At 42.6% G+C, this 27,938-nt stretch overlaps 2 protein-coding genes and 1 long non-coding RNA gene across 32 annotated transcripts in view, besides 1 other annotated feature; 2 read left to right on the forward strand and 1 right to left on the reverse strand.

The window, feature by feature from the left end:
• The window catches only part of C2orf78 (chromosome 2 open reading frame 78), a 32,966-nt gene extending 18,291 nt beyond the window's left edge, over window positions 1–14,675 (forward strand). Inside the window, exons 1-4 of one of the 3 annotated variants that reach the window (XM_047444260.1) lie at window positions 6,300–6,428; window positions 11,004–11,065; window positions 11,613–11,753; window positions 12,598–14,675. In XM_047444260.1, coding sequence (XP_047300216.1) covers window positions 11,642–11,753; window positions 12,598–14,519 — 2,034 coding nt within the window. In that variant the 5' untranslated portion in view covers window positions 6,300–6,428; window positions 11,004–11,065; window positions 11,613–11,641 and the 3' untranslated portion in view covers window positions 14,520–14,675. Of the gene's footprint in view, window positions 1–6,299; window positions 6,429–11,003; window positions 11,754–12,597 lie in introns of those variants that run through there. The other 2 variants (NM_001353344.3, NM_001080474.3) reach the window with 2 other exon arrangements.
• A 5,988-nt stretch (window positions 14,676–20,663) lies between these two features.
• LOC105374807 (uncharacterized) lies at window positions 20,664–27,925 on the reverse strand. Its single transcript, XR_940246.3, has 3 exons — window positions 27,843–27,925; window positions 26,284–26,431; window positions 20,664–21,747 (listed from the first exon to the last, which is right to left on the reverse strand). It is a non-coding gene; the product is annotated as an uncharacterized LOC105374807 (long non-coding RNA).
• Window positions 26,259–26,477: a silencer, noted in NCBI's record as "fragment chr2:74055859-74056077 (GRCh37/hg19 assembly coordinates)". NCBI's record gives its function as "represses an EF-1alpha promoter that drives an FKBP-Casp9 reporter gene in an ReSE screen in HepG2 liver carcinoma cells {active_cell/tissue: HepG2}" and the evidence as "EXISTENCE:reporter gene assay evidence [ECO:0000049][PMID:32094911]".
• Window positions 26,488–27,938, forward strand: part of STAMBP (STAM binding protein) — a 44,696-nt gene continuing 43,245 nt past the window's right edge. For 10 of the 28 annotated variants that reach the window (NR_148668.2, NR_148669.2, XM_047442962.1 and 7 more), the window contains exon 1: window positions 26,488–26,523. The gene's annotated coding sequence lies outside the window, so the exon portion shown is untranslated. Of the gene's footprint in view, window positions 27,038–27,938 lie in introns of all 28 variants that reach the window. The other 18 variants (NR_148670.2, XM_047442961.1, XM_047442970.1 and 15 more) reach the window with 4 other exon arrangements.

The following is a 27,938-nucleotide window of genomic DNA, read 5'->3' on the forward strand; positions in this document are numbered from 1 at the left end:
CCTAAAGGCCCAAGATTCTATAGTGGCTGTTTGCAAGGGAGACGAGGCTATAAGTAACTGCCACACTGGATCCTCTTATGTGAGAAGAAAGAAAGAAAGTATCCTGAATGCCTCTCACATATAAAAGAGCAGGATGGCAGGGTGTCTGTGTGGCCCAAGGAGCCAGAGGTAGCAAACTGTGGGCAAAAGAATTGTGACCAAAGGCTAGAAGAGGGAAGGTCTGCAGTCAGCCTTGTCTTCTACCTCTCTGCTGTTTGCTTCTCATGAGCAGAGTCCGTTTTCCAAACATCAGGACACTGAAAAGAAGACTCCTGCTCTGGAAGTTGACAAGAAGGAATATCCACGAATGTAAAAATGCAAGATCAAGGCTTGGCCCAGAAACAATGCCTAAAATCAAGGGGTTAAAAATGGGAGAGCAGAAGAGAGATCCAAGTCCAACCTGGCCCAGCCCAAAGAAGGTGGAATTCAAGGAGAAGAAACTAAAAGAGAAGAGCCTTGGACCACATCATTTCCTACAAGGGGCAGTCAACGAACTTTGCTGTTCAAGTTACGAAAGGGGGTTCTTTAATCCCTTCCTCTGGCCATTAAAAGCGGCAGTGGGGCCAGGCGCGGTGGCTCCCGCCTGTAATCCCAGCACTCTGGGAGGCAGATGCGGGCGGATCACGAGGTCAGGTGATCGAGACCATCCTGGCTAACAGGGTGAAACCCTGTCCCTACTAAAAATACAAAAAATTAGCCGGCTGAAGTGGCAGGCGCCTGTAGTCCCAGCTACTCAGGAGGCTGAGGCAGTAGAATAGCGTGAACCTGGGAGGTGGTGCTTGCAGTGAGCCAAGATCACGCCACTGCACTCCAGCCTGGGTGACAGAGCCAGACTCCATCTCACAAAAAATACAATAAAATTAAAAAGCAGCAGTAAATTCATTAATCAGATTCACTGAAATAGTTTTAGAACAACTGTAATTGCTCAACTTAGACATCCCCTTCCTTTCTCCCCAAGGATATTGTGTATGTACTGTATAATTATAAATGCATACTATTACATATTATGAAATGTAACATATAAAATATAAATGTTAATTATATTAGTGAACATTTATGAGAAACATTGAGATGATCTCCCTAACATGAGAGCCTGGGGGAAAGTGGGACTATCATGTCTGTCTTGCAGATTTCACCTCCCCAGAGCTCAGCCACTTAGTGCTGTTACACCTTTCCTACCACCTCTGCCAGCCAATCCTGTCTTGTGGGGAATCTGACCTCCCTATTGGCTATCGCAGACCTTTAAACTGCCTGCTTTGTGACATCATTCTCCCACCAAACCGACCGCCACCTGGTAGCATCTTGGGGTTTCCTGGGCGTGGCCTGTAAATTTGTATCATCACAAGGGGCCAGTGACCAGTAACCAGTGACCAGTGGCCTTCATACTGGACACATGCACTGGTTGGCTTCAGCCACCCAGACATCCGCTAGTATCGTCTCTTCTTCCCTTCTATCTGCAGTTGATGTTTCTTCTTCTCTGACCATGTCAGGTAAAGAAAGAAACTTCTTAAAAAGGTTTTCATGAGATTTCTTTGCCACTAAATTTAGGTTTCTTCCCCCCTATATTCCCAAACAGCTTGGAATAACAGGGAAATTATTGAAGTAGAAATCCAGAGACCTCATTTCAGTTTTGGCTTTGACATTTACTAGCTGTGTGACTTTAGATAACGTTTATTCTCTCATAAAATCTGTTTCCTCATCTATTACACTAGGATAATAGACTGGTTATTCCCCCTGGCCCTTTTCTTTTCTAATACTGAGTCTTAAAGGGTATATGTATAGAAAATGAAATCAGAGACTTTCTGAGAGTGTTCATTTCAACAGAAACAGAGAAAAAACCAAAGTGGTCTAGAAAACTAGCAATATATTCTGAGATGTTTCATGTGTAATAGTCTCCCTCTACTAATATTTCAACTTTCGTATTTTAAATTTAGTGATGCTTAGTGATGTTTTAAATAATATTCAGCCAGGCACGGTGGCTCATACCTGTAATCTCAGCACTTTGGGAGGCCATCTCCCTCACTAATATTTCAACTTTCCTATTTTAAATTTAGTGATGTTTACTGATGTGTAGTGATGTTTTTAATATTCAGTTGGGCGTGGTAGCTCATGCCTGCAATATCAATGCTTTGGGAGCCTGAGGTGGGAGGATCGCTTTGGGCCTAGGAGTTCCCGGCCAGTCTGGGCAACATGGCAAGACCCCATCTCTACAAAAACTTTTTAAGACTCAGCCAGGGTTGGGTGTATGCCAGCTACGCAGGAGGCTGAGGTGGGAGGATCAGAGGACTGCTTGAGCCCAGGAGGCTGAGACTGCAGTGAGCCATGTTCATACCACTGGACTTCAGCCTGGGTGACAAAGTGAGACCCTGTCACAAACAAACAAACAAACAAACAAACAAAAAAGAAAAGTAGTATTCACGTTTTGGACATTCCTATCTAAACTAGGTGGAAAGAGAAAATGGAGAGTACTGGGTTCTAAGGAGGCAGGTATTCTAGGGTAAGTAATTTGGTATTTTAATTTAAGCAGAAAGACATGGTCCCCTACTTTTCCCCTTGGGATATGCCCTGGAGAATGACAAAATGATTTTAAAAGAAAAAAATATATTTTAAATTTGAAAAAAAAAAGCAGAAGGACAACAGAGTGAAATGTATTCAGAGTAGGGCAAAATGAAGTTGATTTTAGCAAATGCTTAGATCAATGGACGAGAAAGGAAACAGGCTACATTACATATCCCTAGGAAAAGCAGCTTATCAGAAGTCATATTCAGTCACTTTTTTCTGTTGCCTTTTTGAACATAGATGACACTTGACAGTTTGTAATATAAACATTTTGGAAATATGTTTTAGAGGCCGGGCACGGTGGCTTACGCCTGTAAACCAAGCACTTTGGGAGGCCGAGGTGGGCTGATCACCTGAGGTCAGGAGTGTGAGACAAGCCTGACCAACAAGGAGAAACCCCATCTCTACTAAAAATACCAAATTAGCCGGGCATGGTGGCACATGCGTGTAATCCCAGCTATTTGGGAGGCTGAGGCAGGAGAATCGCTTGAACCCGAGAGGCAAAGGTTGTGGTGAGCCAAGATCGCGCCATTGCACTCCAGTCTGGGCAATAAGAGCGAAACTCCGCTTCAAAAGAAAAAAAAAAGAAACCAACATGTTTTAGAAATGAGGCTTCCAGGCGGGGTGCGGTGGCTCACGCCTGTAATCACAGCACTTTGCGAGGCTGAGGTGGGAAGATCACCGGAGGTCAGGAGTTGGAGACCAGCCTGGCCAACGTGGTCAAACCCCATCTCTACTAAGAATACAAAAATTAGCTGGGTGTGGTGGTGTGCACCTTTAATCCTACGTACTTGGGAGGCTCAGGCATCAGAATTGCTTGAACCAGGGAGGCGCATGATGCAGTGAGCCGAGATCGTGCCACTGCCCTCCAGCCTAGGCGACAGAGCGAGACTCCATCTAAAAACAAACAAACAAATAAACAAACAAATGATCAATGCAGGTATCTCTAAAAGCTTACCACCAAGGAAAATGATTATATCCATAGATTTCCTCCCCCAAACCAGCTTAGTCCACACGTAAATCATTAGCAACTCAGCCCTAACTCATTTTATCACAGTTACAAGAGAAGTTAGTGAGAAAAGCACTAACTAGGAAAATGAAAACCAAGGCAATCCAAGTCAACTTGGGCTCACTGCAGACATCTGTTCCTTATGCTTGGGCACACAGCACAACTCACAACAGTGCCTTTTTCACAGACCCCTCTTTAATTTCCTCCACAAAACCCATCAGGTCACCATAGTTCATGATGTTTCAAAATAAACAACCATCATGAGAAAAACATGCAGTATGTCTTACAATCTTGTATTCCTTAAAAATATGACAAGGAAAAAACATGTAGAAAAACCAGAGGATTTAAAAGCAATCTACAGGCCACGCACGGTGGCTCACACCTGTAATCCCAGCACTTTGCGAGGCTGAGGCAGGAAGATCAACCGAGGTCAGGAGTTTGAGACCAGCCTGGACAACATGGTGAAACCTTGTCCTTAATAAAAATACAAAAATTAGCCAGGGATAGTGGCGGCACCCGTTATCCCAGCCACTTGGGAGGCTGAGGCAGGAGAATCACTTGGACCAAGGAGGCAGAGGTTGCAGTGAGCCAAGACCGTGCCACTGCACTCCAGCCTGGGCAAAAGAGTGAAATTCTGTCTCACTCTTATAAATAAAATAAAGTTAATAAAACAAAAGCAATTTACATTCTACAGACATACTAATGAATGACATAAATGAGGTAATACGGTATAAAACAAAATGGAAAAAATACATTATGATTATTTTCTTCAGTGTACAGAAGTCATGGAAGTTCTGGACTATCTAGCTACATAAAAAATATTGGGCCAGGCGCAGTGGCACACGCCTGTAATCCCAGCACTTTGGGAGGCTGAGGTGGGCAGATCCCAAGGTCAGGAGACCATCCTCGCTGACACGGTGAAACCCCGTCTCTACAAAAAAATACAAAAAATTAGCCGGGCATGGTGGCGAGTACCTGTAATCCCAGCTACTCGGGAGACTAAGGCACGAGAATGGTGTGAACCTGGGAGGCAGAGCTTGAAGCTAGCAGAGATCGGCCACTGCCCTCCAGCCTGGGTGACAGAGAGAGACTCTGTCTCAAAAAAAAAAAAAAAGAATTGTCTATTTTGTTAATACAAAATAGGTATGTTGAATTGTTTGTCACAGAAACCAAAAAATCCACATAAATCTCTTTTTTCCTGTACCCTCACCTTGCCTGTTTCCTATTCTCCACTAAATGCTTCAACTCTTCATTTTGCCTGGCCCTTGCACCCAAGCATGGCTGACAGAAAATCCTAAAGGCCCAAGATTCTATAGTGGCTGTTTGCAAGGGAGACGAGGCTATAAGTAACTGCCACACTGGATCCTCTTATGTGAGAAGAAAGAAAGAAAGTATCCTGAATGCCTCTCACATATAAAAGAGCAGGATGGCAGGGTGTCTGTGTGGCCCAAGGAGCCAGAGGTAGCAAACTGTGGGCAAAAGAATTGTGACCAAAGGCTAGAAGAGGGAAGGTCTGCAGTCAGCCTTGTCTTCTACCTCTCTGCTGTTTGCTTCTCATGAGCAGAGTCCGTTTTCCAAACATCAGGACACTGAAAAGAAGACTCCTGCTCTGGAAGTTGACAAGAAGGAATATCCACGAATGTAAAAATGCAAGATCAAGGCTTGGCCCAGAAACAATGCCTAAAATCAAGGGGTTAAAAATGGGAGAGCAGAAGAGAGATCCAAGTCCAACCTGGCCCAGCCCAAAGAAGGTGGAATTCAAGGAGAAGAAACTAAAAGAGAAGAGCCTTGGACCACATCATTTCCTACAAGGGGCAATCAACAAACTTTGCTGTTCAAGTTACAAAAGAGGGTTCTTTAATCTCTTCCTTTGGCCCTTAAAATCGGCAGTAGGGCCGGGTGCGGTGGCTCCCGCCTGTAATCCCAGCACTTTGGGAGGCTGAGGCGAGCAGATCACAAGGTCAGGTGATCGAACCATCCTGGCTAACAGGGTGAAACCCTGTCCCTACTAAAAATACAAAAAATTAGCCGGCTGAAGTGGCAGGCGCCTGTAGTCCCAGCTACTAAGGAGTCTGAGGCAGGAGAATGGCGTGAACCTGGGAGGTGGTGCTTGCAGTGAGCCAAGATCACGCCACTGCACTCCAGCCTGGGTGACAGAGCCAGACTCCATCTCACAAAAAATTCAATAAAATAAAAAAGCAGCAGTAAATTCATTAATCAGATTCACTGAAATAGTTTTAGAACAACTGTAATTGCTCAACTTAGACATCCCCTTCCTTTCTCCCCAAGGATATTGTGTATGTACTGTATAATTATAAATGCATAGTATTATATAATATGAAATGTAACACATTAAATATAAATGTTAATTATATTAGTGAACATTTATGAGAAACATTGAGATGATCTCCCTAACATGAGAGCCTGGGGGAAAGTGGGACTATCATGTCTGTCTTGCAGATTTCACCTCCCCAGAGCTCAGCCACTTAGTGCTGTTACACCTTTCCTACCACCTCTGCCAGCCAATCCTGTCTTGTGGGGAATCTGACCTCCCTATTGGCTATCGCAGACCTTTAAACTGCCTGCTTTGTGACATCATTCTCCCACCAAACCAACTGCCACCTGGTAGAATCTTGGGGTTTCCTGGGCGTGGCCTGTAAATTTGTATCATCACAAGGGGCCAGTGACCAGTAACCAGTGACCAGTGGCCTTCATACTGGACACATGCACTGGTTGGCTTCAGCCACCCAGACATCCGCTAGTATCGTCTCTTCTTCCCTTCTATCTGCAGTTGATGTTTCTTCTTCTCTGACCATGTCAGGTAAAGAGAGAAACTTTTTAAAAAGGTTTTCATGAGATTTCTTTGCCACTAAATTTAGATTTCTTTCCCCCTATATTCCCAAACAGCTTGGAATAACAGGGAAAGTATTGAAGTAGAAATCCAGAGACCTCATTTCAGTTTTGGCTTTGACATTAACTAGCTGTGTGACTTTAGATAACTTTTATTCTCTCACAAAATCTGTTTCCTCATCTATTACACTAGGATAATAGACTGGTTATTCCCCCTGGCCTTTTTCTTTTCTAATACTGAGTCTTAAAGGGTATACGTATAGAAAATGAAATCAGAGACTTTCTGAGAGTGTTCATTTCAACAGAAACAGAGAAAAAACCAAAGTGGTCTAGAAAACTAGCAATATATTCTGAGATGTTTCATGTGTAATAGTCTCCCTCCACTAATATTTCAACTTTCGTATTTTAAATTTAGTGATGTTTAGTGATGTTTTAAATAATATTCAGCCAGGCACGGTGGCTCACACCTGTAATCTCAGCACTTTGGGAGGCCATCTCCCTCACTAATATTTCAACTTTCCTATTTTAAATTTAGTGATGTTTACTGATGTGTAGTGATGTTTTTAATATTCAGTTGGGCGTGGTAGCTCATGCCTGCAATGTCAATGCTTTGGGAGCCTGAGGTGGGAGGATCGCTTTGGGCCTAGGAGTTCCCGGCCAGTCTGGGCAACATGGCAAGACCCCATCTCTACAAAAACTTTTTAAAACTCAGCCAGGGTTGGGGGTGTGCCAGCTACTCAGGAAGCTGAGGTGGGAGGATCAGACGCTGCTTGAGCCCAGGAGGTTGAGGCTGCAGTGAGTCAGGTTCACACCACTGGACTTCAGCCTGAGTGACAAAGTGAGACCCTGTCACAAAGAAACAAATAAACAAACAAAAGTAATATTCATGTTTTGGACATTCCTATCTAAACTAGGTGGAAAGAGAAAATGGAGAGTACTGGGTTATAAGGAGGCAGGTATTCTAGAGTAAGGAATTTGGTATTTTAATTAAAGCAGAAAGACAGGGTCCCCTACTTTTCCCCTTGGGATATGCCCTGGAGAATGACGAAATGATTTTAAAATAAAAAAATATATTTTAAATTTGAAAAAAAAAGCAAAAGGACAACAGAGTGAAATCTATTCAAAATAGAGCAAAATGAAGTTGGTTTTAGCAAATGCTTAGATCAAAGGACTAGGAAGGAAACAGGCTAGAATAGAGTATCCCTAGAAAAAGCACCTTATCAGAAGTCATATTCAGTTGTTTTTTTTCTGTTGCCTTTTTGAACATAGATGACACTTGACAGTTTTTAATATAAACATTTTAGAAATATGCTTTAGAGGCCGGGCAGGATGGCTCACACCTGTAATCCCAGCACTTTGGGAGGCCGAGGTGGGCTGATGACCTGAGGTCAGTTCAAGACCAGCCTGACCAACATGGAGAAACCCTGTCTCTACTAAAAATACAAAATTAGCCGGGCATGGTGGCACATGCCTGTAATCCCAGCTACTTGGGAGGCTGAGGCAGGAGAATCGTTTGAACCCAGGAGGTGTAGGTTGCAGTGAGCCTAGATCATGCCATTGCACTCCAGCATGGGCAACAAGAGCGAAACTCTGTCTCAAAAAGAAAATATATATATATATATACATAAAATATATATGTATATTTTATGTATATTATATATATACATAAAATATATATATTTTATATATATACATAATATATATATGTATATTTTATGTATATATCTATAATATATATAATATAATAAAATATACATATATATTTTATATATATATAATATACATATAAAATATACATACATAAAATATACATGTATATTTTATGTATATATAATATATATATAAAATATACATGTATATTTTATATATATAATATACATGTATAATTAATATACATGTATGTTATATATATTACATGTATATTATATATAATATACATATAAATTTTAAATTTAGTGTATATTACATGTATATTATATATAATATATGTATATTATATAATATAAATGTATGTTATATATAATATACATGTATATTTCATATATATATATATATATGTTTTAGAAATGATGCCTCCAGGCCGAGCTCGGTGGCTCACACCTATAATCCCAGCACTTTGGGAGGCTGAGGCGGGTGGATCACCTGAGGTCAGGAGTTCGAGATCAGCCTGGCCAACATGGTGAAATCCCATCTCTACTAAAAATACAAAAATTAGCTGGGTGTGGTGACAGGCGCCTGTAAACCCAGCTACTTGGGAGGCTTAGGCAGGAGAATCTCTGGAACCTGGGAGGCAGAGGTTGCAGTGAGCCGAGATCTTGCCACTGCACTCCAGTCTGTAGGATAGAGCAGGACCCCATCTCAAAAGAAAAGAAAAGAAATGTTGCTTCCTACAAACAAGAAACTAATAAGTGGTTACCTAGAGAGCTGGAGGACATGTAATTTGCAGTGTGCTGTTTCTAATTTTTAAATTATATGGATGTTTCTCCTATTAACAATAAAATTAAGTTTTCTGAAAAAAGAATGTATCGTTATTTGCATCAGAAGAACAATACCTTTGCATGAAAAGTAGATTCCAAGTAAAAGCTGCTTTTTTATCTTAATACTTTCTTCCAAAAACAGAGTACCTACTGATTCATAATGGACTGCTTTTAGACCTAAGAATAAAAAGTCAAGCCACATATCAGCCACATATCTCTAATTCCATATCAATCTAAGCCAAATTTTCTGGAGTCCTTTGAACTTTCCTACATTCAAAACATTTTTTAATTGGATTCTAGCAGTTGTTTTTTTTTAAGCTATGGGAATGTCATTTTCCTGGACGTTGGAGATGATTATAATCTAGGTTTTGAGGATAGATATTAAAGTTCTCATGATACTTTTTAAGAGTTCTTTTCTGCTTGTTATGTGGCTACAATAATTTAAATATTACACTAGGATTAATACCTGTCATTTGCTGGGTAATATTCATAGAAATATGAATGAGCATAATAATTCCTTTACACTTATTTTTTGCATTCTACCTTGTACCAGTTTTTATTGAAATATCTATCCACATATATTATGGCTATTTTACATTCACATTTACTGCATTTTTCTGTTTCTTACATACTTTTTGCTTCTTACACACTTTTTGCTGATACAGTTTGTCTATACATTTTCTGCTTCTTACACACTTTTTGCTGATACAATTTCTCTGTCTATATATGCTTGTTAGAAATTCATTCATTCTATTATGGGCTGTTTCTTGGTTAATAGTATTCACTAAGAAAGAGTAGATACTATTCAGTTTCCTAATGTTGCATGTATGGTAACAGCTTTAGTTAGTACTTTACTATGTTTTGATGCTAGCTACATACCCCAATTTTCATTAATATCTATATATTGTTTTAGTTCCATGATTTTATGTTTTTAATTATTTTGTCTGTTTTTTCAGAACTTACTATATCTTCCTCATTATAAGTCATATGTAATCTATCACTTTTATTCATGTATGAATTATCACTGTTATTATTTTACAACTTCTTTATAGACAGGCAGCCTGAAGCTCACAGAGTTTAACTAGCTTTTTTCTTTCAAAAAGCATTTCTTGGCCAGGCATTGTGGCTCACACCTGTAATCCCAGCACTTTGGGACACCGAGGCAGGCAGATAATCTGATGTCAGGAGTTTGAGACCAGCCTGGTAAACATGGCAAAACCCCGTCTCTATTAAAAATGCAAAAAATTAGCCAGGCAGAGTGGCTGCCTGGGTGTCAAGCCACTGCACTCCAGCCTGGGTGACAGAGTAAGACTCTGTCTCAGTAAAAAGAAAAAAGAAAACATTTCTATCAGGTAGTTATTTTGACTAATGATAAAAAGCCAGGCTTGAAGAGGGCAAAGAATGACCTTTTAGATTTACCAATGGCCTGGGTTAAATATAAACTCTAGGACATATCATATGACCTGCAGAAGCAAAATGTGACACTAAGGATTATAAAGGTAATAGCTGTACTATATTCTAGTAGACCAAAAAAATGCCATATTAAAAGTTCTAATTTCCTGGTTTCTGGTCTATGCTCAGAGAAAAGACTCCTGGCAAGGAAGTCAGGTTCTGTAACCTGGTAATGATATTAACATAATGGTAAAACTTAAAACAGGTCAATCTGACCTCTCAGACTCATAAAATGAAATGTTAGAACTTCTCTAAGGACCTCCTAGTTCTAAAATGCTCCAATTCTAGGAAATAGTTATGAGTCTATACTAGCCCAGATTCAAGGGAAAGATAGGGAAGGGAGAAGGTTGCTTCTAGCCTAGGAAATAATGTACGAAACCAGACCATTTGGGTCTTCATATCTGTGTCCAAGTTGGACACAAAGACAGTTCATCAGAAGAGGACCAAACTGCTTCAGCACTCAAGGCCATCATAAACTGTTTGGCTTTTGGTATCTCAGTGAGTATTGGTATTAGAGGCTTCCTGATTGCAACAACCTTAAGATAATGCTAGTCTTCCAATAAGGTGAGAATTTTTCACTCTCATCGGTTTTTTCATCTCTCTCTTGTTTCCTACAGAATATTTCCAAAATACGTCTTTACCTGGAACTGCAAATTCTCGGCAGTTCTCTCTTCCTGTGGTGAGCAATGCAGCTTTCTTAACAGGAAGCATCTCCAACTTCTCCAGAGCCTCTGCTCCAGCCATCAGCTCAGCATGGCTACAGCCATCAGCCTCTGGCACCTCCTTCCAGCCACTCATGGGCAGTGCCTACCTTTACCAACATTCTAGCACAACTATGTTGTCTGGGGTTACTGGCCAGAGCCATATCTGTACTTCAGCTGCCTCTTATCCAGGCGTTTTTGAGTGGGATAGTACAGCAAGCACAGTAAAGAAGTCATCCTCACTCAGGGACTTCACTGTGACTGTCATTGATCAGAACACAGCTGTCTCTTCCATGTCTATGACAGCCCAGTATTATAAAACTTCAGATACCAATACTATGGTCCCTCTGTATCCATCACTATCTGCCAGCCTTGTTCAGGGGACACTAACTCAAATTCCAAATCAGCAGGGCCATAACCTGTCACTTCCCTGCCAGATAGGAAGCCAGGTCTATTACTATAATCAAGGCACACTGGGGCCTCAACTATCCTGCCTGCAATCTTATGGCTCTGTGTCATACACAGGATATAGGGCTTCTGCCCATCAACCAGAAATGGTGATGGTGCTGAAGGAGGTTCAGCCCACAAATGTCCTACCACCAGTCTCTACTTCTGGGATGTATTACTCTGTGTCTTCTCAACCCATCACAGAAACCAGTGTTCAAGGTGAGTACAAACATCAAGAAAGGAGAGGAATAATGTCAGCGTTGAAAAGGAGGGTCAAATCTGTAGCGAGTGGTGAGTCCGTGGATAGGTAGAATTTAAGTCCTGAGACTTCAACCACTATTCTTTGGCAGTGCTCTCCATTTTCAGACTCTATATAAGAACACCTTATAAGTGGGAAAGTGGAACACTGTAATGGCCATCTATGCTACATGTAAGAGAATCGCAAGAGCATACTGAGGGATACACTTTTTAGTGCCCTGACTGATCACTTCCCCCACACTACCACGCTGTAATGTCCTTCCTTAATCTATTACTTTAGTCTCTTTGGAAGGCACTTCAGAACTCTTATTTTGGCGGTGACATTTTGATTTTCCTTAACTTACAATAGGATTTAAGACCTTGTGTTCAGAGATCCTCTCCAAAACAAACAGGCTCAGAATCTGTGCTTGCTTATATATTTCATGAGGAAGGGCTCCACTCTCTACCTTACCCTAGTCCATGGTGTAAACTGTTCTTATTCTCTCAGGAGAGTGGAGAGAATTGAAAGGACCCTGTAAGAATGTGAGGCTGTATAAAACATCTCCTATTTTAAAAATCACTTTCACTTTTTGATCTACAACAACCCTATGAAATACAAAGAAAACCAAGAAACAATCACATCAAATGATAACCAGTAAGAGAACAGTCACTGCCAATCTCCTAATACAGGGTCTTGCCCATGGTCCTTAAGAAGAGCTAGTAGAAATGCCTTGCCCATGTTGGAAAGGTATCCGATTGCTGCACTGGTGTGTAGGGGGAGCATCTCACTTACCAGGGACTGACTTCTTCCTTGATTCCTTTGTAGTGATGGAAACTTCCCTGGGGATGGATACTTCCCTGGGATTGCAATCTCCAAGCCAGACATTTTGTCTGCCACAAACTCCAGAATTCTCCAAGTCCTTCAGTAGCAGAAATACCCAGACACTTGAGAGTAACCCATCACCTGAGCTTGGGGACATTTCAATAACTCCAGTCCAGAGTCCTACTAATCTCTTGACACTGTCTCCAGCTCCAAGCCAGGAAAAAAATGAGAATGAGAATTTGGATGAGATTAAAACCAACCTTTCAAAGCCTCTAGATGTCCACCAGATCCTAATAGGAAATCAAGATCCTCCACTACTTCCTGTAGAAATCCCCGATATTCACCCGCTTCTGGCCTGCATTGATCCTCTTGGCCAAGAGGAGCAGCCTGGTTCTGAAAATGCCAATCTAAGAAATAAGAGCCTGAGTCTTGAGGACCAAGGGATATTTGAAAATGGGATTGAGTCTAGCAGTGATTTGGCAGACATCACTACATGGGTGGAGGATACTTACCTCCCCCCGATCTTCAGTTCCTTACAAGATCTTGACCAACCTGAAAGTCCCTCAGCAAAGAAAGCCAAAGATACCAGTGCCATCAAGGTAAATCAGGTGCAGGAAAAGTCATGTGTCATAAAGGGTCACTCTGATCAAGTCAGGAAGAACAAGCATAAAGCTTCCGAGCCTATCCAGGGTGCTCCCAAGGCCAAAATCCAGCCAAAGAACCCAGAGTGCCTATTAGAGAGAGAAGTGGTTGTTGGCAGTGCTACAGTCAGTAACAGCGCTTCTGTGAACAAGGCCAAGCATTCTAGCAACAAACCTCACAAGGCTGCATCCAGCAGGATCAGCAAAACTAAGAGCCATGGGCAGGAAAAGACCAAAGGGAACAGAAAGAACAGCTCCAAGAAATCTGAAGAGAGTAAGCAGTCAGGGAAAAAAGTCAAGGTAGAAGAGAAGCAAACCATTCCCAATATGAAACGGAAGAAAAATCAACCTGAGCTTAGCCAAAAGACCCTTAAAAAGCCCCGAAGCTCCCTAGGCATGCACATGCTAGAGTCCGTGCAAGTTTTCCATGCACTCGGGAAAAAGATCGATATGAAAACTGGATTCTCTTCCTCCAGGACCCTGGGAAGCTCAAGCAACACCCAAAACCGCCAGCCATTCCCAGCTCTCAAACCATGGCTGGATATCCAACATGAGGGTAAAGGCCCGGAGAAAATTCAAGTCAAGGCCCAGAAACTAGATGGTAGTGCTGAAAAAGAGTGTACATCTCCATCCCACTCTGAGTTGCCACCACCTGGGAAGGTCAAGTTGATACCTTTGCCCTTTCTGACCCTGGACCAACCTCAAGCTCGACATGTTTCTCGGCGGCCAAACCCTCTAGCCTCACGTAGGCCTGCTGTGGCTTACCCTGCTCGACCTGATTCTACTAACTCAGCTCAATCGAATGCAGTCAATCCATCCCGACCAGCTCCTACCAACACATCTTTGACAGGTCCTGCCACACCAGCTCAGCCAATTTCAGCCAAAGCAACCCAACCCAGTTCAGCCAACCCTACCCAGCCTACTGTCCCTCAATCTGCTGCTTCTAGGCCATCAGCCTACAAAACATCATCTTGTTCTTCTCTGCAGCGGGAGCCTGTTTCCACTGCTGTGACCAGTCTCCGGTCACTGCCCAAGCCTCAAAATCAATTTCTAATCCAAGACTTCAGCCTCCAACCCCGTCCATGGAGGAAACCCACTGTTCCTGAGCCAGTAATGTCAACGCCCATCACAGAAGAGCAGAGGCCAGAGCGTGAGGCCATGAAGAGAAAGGCTCAACAAGAGCGTGAGAATGCTGCCAAATACACCTCTTTGGGGAAAGTGCAGTTTTTCATTGAAAGGGAAAGAGATATGGAAATTGCTGAATACTATGGCTACACAATCTAAGAGCTGAGATTGTTGGTTTTACTTTGGATACCGCTGGTTTTCCACATATATAGATAGATACTAATTTATTTATTCTGATATATTTTTAAAACATAATAAAGAAATGTAATAGAATTGATTAATAGATAAGTAATAAAGAGGCCTTTTGAGTTTTGAGATGCTGTTGACTGTGGGTTTTCTTTGGTGGGGGTGGGGATGAAAGGCTGCATTAGAAAGAAGGAATTATGGCCGGGCATGGTGGCTCATGCCTATAATCCCAGCACTTTGGGAGGCCGAGGTGGGTGGATCACCTGAGGTCAGTAGTTCAAGACCAGCCTGGCCAACATGGTGAAACTAAAAATACAAACTAAAAACTAAAAATACAAAAAATTAGCTGGGTGTGGTGGCGGGTGCCTGTAATCCCAGCGTCTCAGGAGGCTGAGGCAGGAGAATCGCTTGAACCCGGGAGGTGGAGGTCAAAGTGAGCCAAGATCGTGCCACTGCACTCCAGCCTGGACAACAGAGTGAGACTGCGTCTCAAAAAAAAAAAAAAAAAAAAAAAAAAAGAAGGAACTAAAAGTTGGATGGGAGAATAGAGAGAAAGAAAGGGATAAGAATTGAGGAAACAGGAAGGAACATGTTCCAGGACTAAGAAGGTCAAATGGGGAGAGATTTTATGGGCTTATACAAAGAATCAGAAATGGGGAAAATGGCAGAAGTAAGATGCAGAATCTGAGGTTAGGACTAAAAGAATAAAATTTGGATATAAATTGAAGATGGCAGAAGATGAGGCTGGGTGGACCAAAAGAAACGTACAAAATCCCCCATGGATGATAGCCTTATGTCTCATGGCCTATCAGATAGGTATTTTAGAAAATAAGATTCAGGTCTCATCAACAGGTTTGGGTTACCTTATACGTATATGATCACAGTTGGGAAAGTGAGTACAAAACATAGGGGAAATCTACCAGGGGAATGGCAAGGGCTCACAGTTCTCCTAGATACAGCTGATAACCTGGGGCCCAGCCAAATGAACTGCAGCAGCATGAAGCTGGCTCAGAACAGACCCCAGAGTATAGATCTCCATTTACTCAACCAACACCTATGCAAGGGGCAGTGAGACGCACTACTTCAGTTCACCTTCACAACAACACACAAGACCAGTAACACTGTGCCACTTTACTAGTGAGGTTCAGCAGTGGGCTTGGGTCACACTGTGTGCAAAGGGGTAAGGCCTGTGGGTCTCCGAAGTCCTCAGCGTTTGCAAGCGCCTGCAGGCAGCCAGCCTGGCTTTCAGACCGCGGAATCCGGAGGTTACAGGCATAATAAATCAAGCTTCTGGAGGGACTTAAATATTAAGAGGCCGCCAGGTCCTCCTCCACCCATTCCAGCACGTGCAACCTTCTCCGCCATCACCATTAACTGAAGTACACGAGACAAAACGGCTTGGAGCGTCCATTTTCACAGGATGAGTGGTGGGCGCGCGCGCGCCCTGGGTCCCCCTCCAAAAGCCGCAAGACGCAGGCGCCCAACTGTCCACAGACGCTCCTTAGGGGGAGGCCCCCCCCCCCCACGCCCCTCGAGGCACAGTGGGAGGTAGAAAGGGTTGGGGGCGGTGGGGGGAGGGCAGGAGAGGAATGGGTGGGGGAAGGGAAGATGGGGGCAGTGGATGGTCACCATGGGTAAATCAGTAATTTACTTTTTAAAAAATTAGTTTCTGATATATAATTCACCTAACATAAAATTCACTGTTCAAAATCCGTACGATTCGGCCGGGAGCGGCCTGTAATCTTAGCACTTTGGGAGGCTGAGGCAGGCGGATCACTTGAGCTCAGGAGTTCGAGACTAGGCTGGCCAACATGGTGAAACCTCGTCTCTAATAAAAATACAAAAATTAGCCGGGCGTGGTGGCGCATGCCTACAATCCCAGCTGCTCAGGAGGCTGAGGCACAAGAATCGCTTGAACCCGGGAGGGGGAGGTTGCAGTGAGCCGAGATCGTGCCACTGCACTCCAGCCTGGGTAACAGAGCGAGTCTCAGTCTCAAAACAAAAAACAAACAAACAAAAATCGTACAGTTCAGTGACATTTAGTATGTTCACAAGGTTGTACAATCATTACAACTATCTGAGCCATTACCTTTTCATCATCCCCTGCAAAAAAACCCTCTACCCATTAGCGGTCACTCCTCATTCCCTCCTCCCTCTGACACCAGGCAACCACCAATCTCTGGATTTACCTTTTCTGGACATTTCATATAAATGGAATCATACAACATGTGACCTTTAGTATCTGGCTTCTTTCATTTAATACTATGTTTTAAAGGTTTATCTATGTTGTAGTGTGTGTCTGAACTTTATTCCTTTTCATACTGCATAGTATTCTTATTGTATGACTACACCACATTGGCTTATCCATTCATCCATTACTAGACATTTGGGTTGTTTCCACCAGCAATTTATATTTATTGAGAGTTTATTCTGTGCCAGGCAGCACCTGGCTAAGTTATTCATCCCATTTCACAGATAAGGAGGTAGAGAATCTGAAGAATTTGCCCAAGATTAAGAGCTAGCTAGCAACTGCTAGCAATAGCTGGGATTTGAACACAGGCATTTTAGACTTAAAAGATAATAGATTCACATGATAGAACATTGGAAAGATACAAAATGGTGACAATGGAAATTCACACTTTCCCCAAGTTTCCCAGCCACCACCACCCCCTCCCTTAGAAGCATCTACTTTTGCCATTTTAAGGATTCTTCCAGATAAATTATTTATTTTTACCCCAACATGTACATATTACAATTTACTGAATAATCTGTCCCATTGATTTGAAATGTCACTTTTATGGTATACTACGTTTCTATGTGTTTGCATTACTCTTTTCAGAACTGTCCTGACTTTTTTGCCTATCTTTTGTTATTTGCCATTTCTCTAGAATTCTTTTTATTATCTTCTTTTTGATTTTTAAAAATTTCCTTTTTTTAAAAGGCATTATCCATTATGCTAATTCATTCTTTTTTCTTCTTTTTCTTTTTCTTTTTTTTTTTTCGAGACGGACTCTCGCTCTGTCACTAGGCTAGAGTGCACTGGTGCCACCTGGCTCACAGCAAACTTCACCTCCTGGGTTCAAGCGATTATCATGCCTCAGCCTCCTGAGTAGCTGAGATTACAGGTGCACGTCACCATGCCTGTCTAATTTTTTTTTTTTTTTTCCTGAGACAGAGTTTCCTTCTTGTTGCCCAGGCTGGAGAGCAATGGCGCGATCTCGGCTCACCACAACCTCTGCCTCCCAGGTTCAAGCGATCCTCCTGGCTCAGCCTCCCGAGTAGCTGGGATTACAGGCATGCGCCACCATGCCTGGCTAATTTTGTATTTTTAGTAGAGTCGGGGTTTTGTTGGTCAGGCTGGGCTCAATCTCCTAACCTCGGGTGATCCACCCATCTCGGCCTCCCAAAGTGCTTGGATTACAGGTGTGAGCCATCGCCCTGGCCTAATTTTTGTATTTTTAGTAGAGACAGGGTTTCACCATGTTGGCCAAGCTGGTCTTGAACTCCTGGCCTCAACTGATCCACCCGCCTTGGCCTCCCAAAGTGTGGGGATTACAGGTGTTTTTTAAAATGTAGCCACCATGCCCAGCCTGTTCATTCTTGTGTTCTTTTTACTTTAGTCTTCATTTCTGAAGTTTTTCTTTTGTTTTTAATCCTGTTCTGAGTTCTACCATCTCACCTAATTTTGATTTATATTGTTTTCTCACCCTTTTTATTGCAGTAAAATACACATAATGTAAAATTTACCATTTTAACCATTTTAAGTGTACAATTCAGTGGCATTAAGTAGATTCATACTGTTGTTCCACCATTACCACTATCCATCTCCAGAACTTTTTCATCATCCCAAACAAAAACTCTGTACAGTACTCATTCAGTAACTTCCCATCCTGCCCCCCATGGTCCTTTCATCTTTTGCATCGTTTTTTCCTAATGTCTTTTAGCTAGTTTTGAAATAGCAGATTACTCTTTGGATCAGCTGGCGGGGCTGTCTTTTCTGACTTGCTTTTGTTGTCTGACAGGATGCTATTCTGCTGCTTATTCTCTTTTTTCTTATAATACCTTTGTATGGGATTTGACTACGATCCTTTTCTGTTATTCATTTTTAGGTGAAATTGGTTTTTCTGCACTTTGAAAAGGAGGTGTTAAGGATAACTTTTCTAAAACTTCCCCAAACTTCTCTTTTTTAAAAATGTAGTGTCAAATGACATGGTGGTTTGCTTTTTGACATTTCCTAGCTCTGTTTCCCTCCCTGATTTTTATCTTTGTATCCGTTGTTCCTCCCAGTAGTTTTTCCTCTGTGTTTCCAGGGCCACATCCTGGAAAGGAGCTCTGGCTGCTCGGGCTCAAGAGTGGGAAGGGACTAGACTGCTTCAGTGCTTCAGAGTCTATCACAGGTCCCTTGTACTTACTCACTTTGTGACTGGGCAAAACCCCTCAGTTTCAGCTGCTGTTCTCACATTGGCCCATGGTACTTTCCAGTGAACTTCTCTGCTGGCAGTTTGAAGGCATACTGTCTACCACTCCCTCTTGTGTGGGTGCCATACCAGGCAAGTCTGGTGCCCATTGGTGATGGTTTGCCCCACCCTCTTGTTTTGGGGTTCATAGGGAAAACCGTCCTCTAGTTTTGTGATAAAGGCTACTTATGGGTTTTTTGTTTGGTTTGATCTATTTCCATGAGAGGATTTGAGGAGATTCAAAACTACACTGCTGCCTCCATCTTTCTAAAATCCTGCTCAATCTTTTGACATAATTATTTTAAACATGGGAACCCTGTAGTTCTCTGTTCCCTTAAACAGAGCTCCATTTGCCCCAAACTAGTTAAGACTCTGAGTCAGACAAGGCTTGCTGAGTCTCCTCTCTCTAACATGGCAACTCTGTACTTGCTCAGTCCATGTTTTGAGTGAGAAGTCAAAACACAACAGCCTAAAGGGCTCATGGGTGGACAATCTGGAGAAAGGCCCTGGTCAGAATGTGCATCGTTTCCTTCTCTTTGTATCTTCTTTCCTAAACGTGTATAAAATTGAATCTCTCATCTGCCCTCCTACCCCCACAAAAAAAAAAACCTGGTTCATACACAGTTTTCTTTATCTCAGTTCATGGTAATGCCATTTTTCAGTTGCTTGGGGCAGAAACCTTTGAAGTCATTTGTAGTGATTTGTTAGAGCAGCGACTAGAAACTAATACAATGCTCATTAGAGTATTGTAACAAGTAAGGTGCCATCTGAAAAATAATATAATTAAGTTAGAAGAAAACCTTACTCTTAGCCACAATCACTTGCTAATGGGATATGTATGCCAGTTGGGTACTGTACATCTCAAACCTTAGAATCAAGTTGGATATTACCAGCATCACTTCCTGTTCCACACTGATTTGCATAGGGCACTTGCCAAAAACCCAGCTTCACAAAGATACAGTATCATTGAAAGTAATGTGGCATGACCTGATGTTGAAACTGTGAACTATACCTACTAGCTAGAAGCTCATGCAATATCTAACAGATGTTGGGTATTGCTATGAATCCTTCACGAATTTAAAATACCCAGCTGCACCCAGATGAATCTGCTGTAGTGTCTTGGGAGCACATTGGTGCACTTTTTTTTTTTTTAAGACAGGGTCTCACTCTGTCACCCAGGCTAGAGTGTAGTGGTGTGATCATAGCTCACTGCTGCAATCTCAGACTCTGGCCTCTAGAGATCCTTCCACCTCAGCCTCCCAAAGCACTGGGATTGTAGGCATGAGCCACTGTGCCTGGCTGGTACACCTTTTGAACCACAGTCCTAATTGGTTTTCCTGTTCCCAGCCTTTTCCCTAAAATTTGTCAACATGGCAGCCATAATGATCCTTTCAAAACACAAATCACAAAACACAAATCAGATCACTCTTTTGTTCAGTCCTTCCCATAGCTTCTCATTTCTCTCAGAGTCAAAGTCAACATTGTTACAGTGGCCTGTGAAATCTTACCTACAGCAGGGGTCAGAAAATATTTTCTATAAAGACTCAGACAGTTAAATATGTTAGTCTTTGTGGGATAGATCATCTCCGTCTCAACAACTCCACTTTCTGGTTGTAGCATGAAAGCAGCCACAGAAAATACATAAACAAATGAGCATGGCCATGTTCCAATAAAACTTTATTTACAAAAACAGGCTGCACTGGTTTGCTGACTCTTGCCCTATATGATTTACAGCTACACTCCCCTTCACTCCACTCCAGGCACGCTGAGCCCCTTTACTGTGCCTTGAATGCACCAGCAAGCTCCTGATTGAAGGCCTCTGTACTTGCTATTCCCTGCCTGGAAAGCTCTTCTTACCTCCAAGTCTTTTCTCAAATCTTTTCAATGGGAGTTTCCTTGACCACACTATTTGGAATTGCAGTTGCCTCACTGCTTCTCCCTTCCTTCAATCTGATTTCCTGTGCCAGGGCCCATTGCTTTCACAGTACTTTGAACCTTTTAATACACTATGTAATTGACTTCTTTATCATGATAATTTTTATAATCCACTACTCCTCCATCCATCACTAAACTACAAGATCCCCAAGGGCAGGGAAATTTTTGTCTGCTTTGTTCATTGATATGTGCCTAATGCCTTAAACAGTGTCGGGCACATAGATGATAATCAGTATTTGTCAAATGACTAACTAAATGAGTATTTTTCAGAGTACACACATAGTGGCATGCAATTCTTTATCCCTCATTAAAAGTTATAGTGCTTGGTCATAATTCAGGCCCTATATTTGAAAAGAAATACGTAAACAAAATATAAAATGATAAAATCTCTCATTCAAAATGTCCAATTCTCAAATAGCCATAAAGTTTCACGTGTCATTTAACTCTTGTTGAAATTCGCAACCTTGAAAATGGCACTCTGACCTAAAACAAAGACTTTGACTTATTGGAAAATAAATTATACAGTCCACAGCTAGCAAGCAGGTAACAAACGAAAAAAATATGTCTAACATAAAACGGATTCCTCATGTACACATTTAAACATAAATTTAAACAATATATACACATTAAAAATATTTCCAAGCATGCGTAAGAACTCATTTTCCAAAGTGGTCATTTTTCTTGGAGATGAGAGAGACCAGTCTTCAAACAAACTGTAGGGGGAGCTCCAAACCACAGATTCACCTTCATGTTACTGGTTTTACAGTAGCCTTCTTAAGAACAACTTCACTGGGTAATTCCAACTCCAGCTGAAAAGGAACATATATGCATGCATTCATAATGCACAAACTTAAAAGATCCCAGTGCATTTGCTACATTTCCCTTTATTTGAATCAGCTCATTCTATATCTTTTTCTTCCCAAGTACTTTTCAAACCTATTTGTCATTTTATATTCCCAATGGACTCATAGCAAAAATTTTAACAATGTGAACAATTTGTTTTTAGTACACACTCCATTTCTGCTTTCATAGCCCCTCCATTCCCAAGCAATGTTCAAGATAGGCTGTTTTAGTGTCTCAATGCATGGAGCTCACCTAGCCTCCCCTTGAGAATATTGCTCATCTTTTAAAGAATTTTTTCCTTCTAATGGCTCTAAACCTTCATCCACGGAAGACTTAAAACAACTGGAACTCAGTTTTTCTTTTTTCTTTTCTTTTCTTTTCTTTTTTTTTTGAGATGGAGTCTCACTTTGTCGCCCAGGCTGGAATGCAATGGCACGATCTCAGCTCACTGCAACCTCTGCCTCCTGGGTTCAAGTGATTCTCCTGCCTCAGCCTCCTGAGCAGCTGGGACTAGAGGTACCCACTACCACGCCCAGCTAATTTTGTATTTTTAGTAGAGACAGGTTTTCACTATGTTAGCCAGGGTGGTCTTGATCTCCTGACCTTGTGATCTGCCCACCTCAGCCTCCCAAAGTGCTGGGATTATAGGCATGAGCCACCATGCCCCGCCCAGTTTTTCTTTTTCACTGTGGTAGACCCATGCCAGACACAGACCCATGAGCTTGAAAGATATTCAATAAACACTTGCTCAATTAATAAAGGCATCTAGCCTTTAGGCTTTCTGCTTCTAGCTCTAAGTGCCTTGCAGAGAAGAGTGGGTCCCAAAAGCATAACGGTCATTGTTTTTCATTGTTCATCTCAGTAATCAGCATAATTGGCTAATTACATTCCTGTAAATCATTTTGGGGACAGTGAGACAATATTTATCTCAACAACATTTGAACATTCAACAATGTTCATTGAGTGTCACATCTGGTTTCGCAAGCCATTCTAGGCAGTGGGGATAGAGCTGTGAGCAAGGCAGAAAAGGATCTTAACTTTCTGGAAATTATATTCTAGTGGGGAATGAAAGACAATAAGCAACCCAAATCATATCAGACAGTGGTAAGGATTATCAAGACAATTAAAATAAGACCAACTAATGAAGGATGACTGGGTGGCTCCTTAGAATGGGTGGTCAGAGAAGTTCTCCTTGAGGAGGTAACATGTAAACTGAGAAATGAATGATGAGGCAGAGCCAGCCAAGTGAAGATGAGGGTAAAAGCATCCCAGGAAAAGGAGTCAGCTATGCAAAGGTCTTGAGTGGAAAAGCAGATGTTTGGATGGTGTCGGTGGAGAGTATTAAGCAAGGAGATTGGGAGATGAAGTCAGAAAGGCAACAGGGGCCGAGTCACTCTGTAATCCCCAGTAAGGAGTGTGGATGTTTATTCCAAGTGCCATGGGAATTCACTGAAGAGTTTTAAGCCGAGGAGTGATGGAATCTGATTTTTGCTTTAAAAAGATCATTAGTGGCCAGGCGTGATGGCTCACACCTGTAATCCCAGCACTTTGGGAGGCTGAGGTGGGTGGATCACTTGAGGTCAGGAGTTCAAGACCAGCGTGGCCAACATGGCAAAACCCTGTCTCTACTAAAAAATACAAAAATTAGCCAAGTTTGGTGGCGAGCACCTATAATCCCAGCTACTCAGGAGGTTGAGGCAGGGAGAATTGCTTGAACCTGGGAGGTGGAGGTTGCAGCCGAGATTGTGCCACTGCACTCCAGCCTGGGTGACAGAGCAAGACTTCATCTCAAAAAAAAAAAAAATTAGCTGCTGTTGTAAGAATGCATTGTAGTAGGTAAGAATGAACGCCCTTCCTGTACTAATGCAATTGTCCCTCTAGGTATGTCACTTAACACAAGAGTACCAACCTTGCAAGTGAAATACACCTAGAGTCTTCCTTGTTTTTACCCTCCCTGACCCCCGAACTCCGCTGGGTCTGTATTTTTCCTTTTCTTCTTTTTGCTTTTTAGCAATAGGAGTCTCACTATGTTGCCCAGGCTGGAATGCAGTGGCTATTCACAGGTGAGATCATAGCACACCACAGCCTTAAACTCCTGGGCTCAAGTGATCCTCCTGGGTTTTTTGTTTGTTTTGTTTTGTTTTGTTTTTTTAGAGGTCTCACTCTGTTGCCCAGGCTGGAGAGCAGTGGTGTAATCATAGCTCACTATATCCTCGAACTCCTGGGCTCAAGCGATCCTCCTGTCTCAGCCTTCCAAAGTGCTGGGATTACAGGCGTGAGCCAGCGCACCTGGTCCAGGCCTGTGTTTTCTAAACCCCGATGTTACATTTCAGATTAAGAACTTCACCTTCTAGGCATCTTTTGCTGCTGCCCAAAAATGAGCAAGTAGGAATGAGCATGCAGGAGTGCAGGAGACCTGACGTTGGCATATGCAAGCGGCCAGATGGAGGCTGCTATATTCAGGAAAAGTGTTCATGGCTGGGAGTGAGCACCGGAAGGAAAGAGCATCTCAATTCCTAACCTGGTCTAGTCTGCCAGGTGAACTGCTGAAGCCTATTTGCTGAAGGAATACCTTCCACGCTTAGCCTCCAATCTTTAGGGCAGGGGTAGGTAGGATATTCTCATCAGTTATGCCAAGAATCTTTTATAGCTTTGATTTCCTGATTGTGTATACAAAATTGTTTAGTTTTTAAACTTTTCCAGTTAAACAAGAAATGAGGAATGTAAAATTTTTACCTTGGCCAAGATTTTCTTATTTCAGGTCCCTAGAAAGCTGAGTATTGAACTTTGCCCCAGATATCAAAAACTCTGGTCAACATTTACAAATTCTCTCCCTAAAAAGACTAGATCCTGCTTCCTATATTCACTTAGCTATTACCTTAAGAACTGCTAGCAACTGGGCATATTAACTTTCTAATATCAGGAACAGCCTCTATGTGGCGCTAGCTATGTTTACGACTATGCACACCCCTTATATGTGTGTCTCAGTTATAGCTTCTTAAAGTCTTCTCATCATAATCTTAAAATCTAGGATGTTTGTAAATTTTCTTTACTTGTTAAGCTAAACATTATAAAAAAAAGAACTACTTTAGAGATTGTGCTGAATGGGAGCAGATGCCCCTCCCTACCCCACCAGCTGTACTTCTACCTGTGCTTCCACCATTAGAGTATCCACCTGCTGGGTTTGTTTGCTGATGTATCCCTAACACCTAGAACAGAACCTGGCACATAGTAGACACTCAGTAAACATTTACTGAGTGAGAGGTTGAATGGATCAGATTTTGACCTGTGTTGCCTCCTGCCAGGACCCCATCTGCACTATAATGCCCACCCAATGACCAGCATCTCCAGTGCATCAATTTCTTTAGGCCCAACCCATCATGTTTACATTCTGAAGAGAGTCAGTAGAGAGAGTTTTGAAGACACAGTAGAGTGCCCTATACAATTATCTTCCCAGATTTATCTGCAGTAGATCCATGAGAGTTGATAGTAGACCCATGCACATTAATGCTTGCTGGGGGCAGAAGGGGAGGTGATATGATGCAAGCAAGTACTTTCAACCCTAAGTCTGAAAAGTTGATGACTACACAAAATCACTTCAGGTAACTCCAACAGAAATATACACAACGGAGGTTGGGAGAAATGAGAGATCTGGAGGCTGGCTAGGTGGAGGAGGCAACACCTGAATTAGGGATTTAAGCTAGACCTTGAAGAATAGGTCATGCCATCACACTAACAAACTCACAGGGAGGCTCCCAAATTTTGGGAAAGTGTCCCCCAGAGACTTAGACTTTTAAACCAAAGCCTAATGTTTCACAAAGTCTTCTGAGACAGAATGATTAGCAAGCTTGTAGGACCTTTTTGTAAAGAGGATGTATATGGATTCGTACAGACACACATCTACATGCAGAACGTGCCATTCTGTATTTGATGCATAAAACCACCTTGTCCCGGTCTCAGGGCAGGAACAGTGTCATACAGATTTTTGTGTCTCCACTGCTTTTGCATAGCGGCTCTTAGAGATTAAACGCTTTTTTTCCAAATATTTTATAGGTTTTTTGACATTAAAACGTTAGTCTCATCTGGGTGCGGTGGCACACGCCAGTAATCCCAGTACTTTGGGAGGCAGAGGCAAGAAGATCGCTTGAGCCCTGAAGTTGGAGACCACAGTGAGCTATGATCACACCACTGCACTCCTGTGACAGCCTGGGTGACACCGCAAGACCCTGTCTTAAAAAAAAAAAAAGTTAGACTTATGTTCTTTTCTAAGCAATAAAATTAGTCTTAGATATTGCCTAATATCTAAGACTACCAATTTTTGTGTAGAATGTAATACAAGCTAAAAAATACATTCGAAAGACTTTCTGTCCCCCAATTTATAAATCCTGGTTAGTTTAGCTAAGTCTGCAGTTGTGCTGGGATCAGCAATCCCTCCTTAAATGCAGGAGTATTGTGAGTGTGATGAGGGACTACCCCAAATCAAAATAATTTTAAAAGCAAACCTTAGCTTGCTAATTGGTTCCACTTTCTTCCTTGTTCCTTTTCCTTTACCAAGATGGCCGCTGTGTCGTTCGCTCCTCATTGGTCGGATTTTCCGCAGGTGCCGATTCTAGCCCCACCTACTAGCTCTCCGTTCCAAGTCCTAAATCACTGGGAATGTAATAGACAGACGAACGGGAGTGGGCGGAGCGGGCGCCGGATGTGACGTTTCCGGAACCTCCGGGTGTCATCCGCGGGGAAAGGTGGGGAAGGGTCCCGGGAACGTGGTGGGGCAGGGCCTCCGAGCGTGGTTGGACTTTGAAGGGGATCGGCCGCCGTGAGTGTGGGGCCTGCAGCCTACTCTCCCCGAGTCCCCTGCCCGGCCTGCCTCGCTCGAGGCACCCGACGGCTTCTGTCTCCGCGGGCTGGCGCCTGACCAGCCAGGCCCAGCGGTTCCCCGCCTACTGCATTTGAAAGATCCCGAAAACCCTGGATGATTGTGCCTGGGGTTGGCAAGTTCGTCTTGAGTGCCTTCAAGAAGGGTTCCTCAAGCAGTTGTCGATAGAGCCCTCCCTACTGTATACGCCCCCTCCGCTCATTCCTGCTACTTCCTTTCTCCTCCTCGTATTTCCCCCTCGGTCCTTTACGCCGCCTTTCCCCCTCATTTGCAGATGCTGCATCCCCTTTTTGGAATTGCTCAACCAGGTGGTAACCGGCGCCGCTTCCTGGCCTTGGGAGGTGGTTCCTTTCTTAACCCACAAGAACCTCTCCCAAGAGGTACTGAGATGCAACAAGCATCCTCTGTTTCAGTTAACTTTCATGGGCCGTGGACTAGGTTTACTAATTACTTGGGGAGGTTTTAGATATGCTTGCGGCTTTCTGAGTCCCTAAGGAGGCCTCGTGAGAGATGGACTATCTCTGCATCCCTAGTAGTCCTCACGGCTTTTGTGCTATTAGTGAGGGTGTTTTAGAGGGGAAGGTTTGTGGAGGAATTGTGACCCGAATATTGAAGAGACCTAAAGATGGAATTGGCTGAGAGAAGACTACCCCTGAGGGAAGAGTTGTAGTAGAAAAGAAAAACTGGATAGATAAATGAAACTGAAATGTGAGGATGCCTGGGCGGATTGGAATCCTGACTGAAGCAAAAGATCTCTGTTGGGGAGGGCCAGTTGCCACAGGGCCTTGAATTCCAAGATTTATTCTACTGTAGTTTGTGTATTCTAGAGCATACTGATTAGGGTTTGCTGTAATGCAATGTGTGTCAAATGCCCAGTTTTATTTTGGAGATGATAGTGGTGATATCTGGTTGGAATTTGGAATCTGATTCTAACAGCAACTATATCTAGAAAGACTAGAATTACTGGAGTTTTGGGACACCAGGGGTTTTTGCAATGCAAGTTACCATCGTGCCTTTTTGTTATTCAGTGTTTAGTCTATGAAGATGAGTAAATGGTTGTTTTCAAGATTTAAGTCTCTTGCCATGATAATGATGAATGAATGATTTTATAGATTGACTATAGTGGTTTAGTGAGCAGAGTTACAATTATGAGCATTAATTCCCAGACCAGTTCCCCTAACTCACCTTGTGCTCAAATATGAAAAAGGATACCACAGAAAATGTCAGTTACTCTCAGATTAAGTAAAAATGGTCAACCTTGAAGTTAGTTAACAATCCTCA

This window comes from Homo sapiens, chromosome 2 (genome assembly GCF_000001405.40).
Source record: "Homo sapiens chromosome 2, GRCh38.p14 Primary Assembly".
In the NCBI taxonomy this organism is placed as follows: domain Eukaryota; kingdom Metazoa; phylum Chordata; class Mammalia; order Primates; family Hominidae; genus Homo; species Homo sapiens.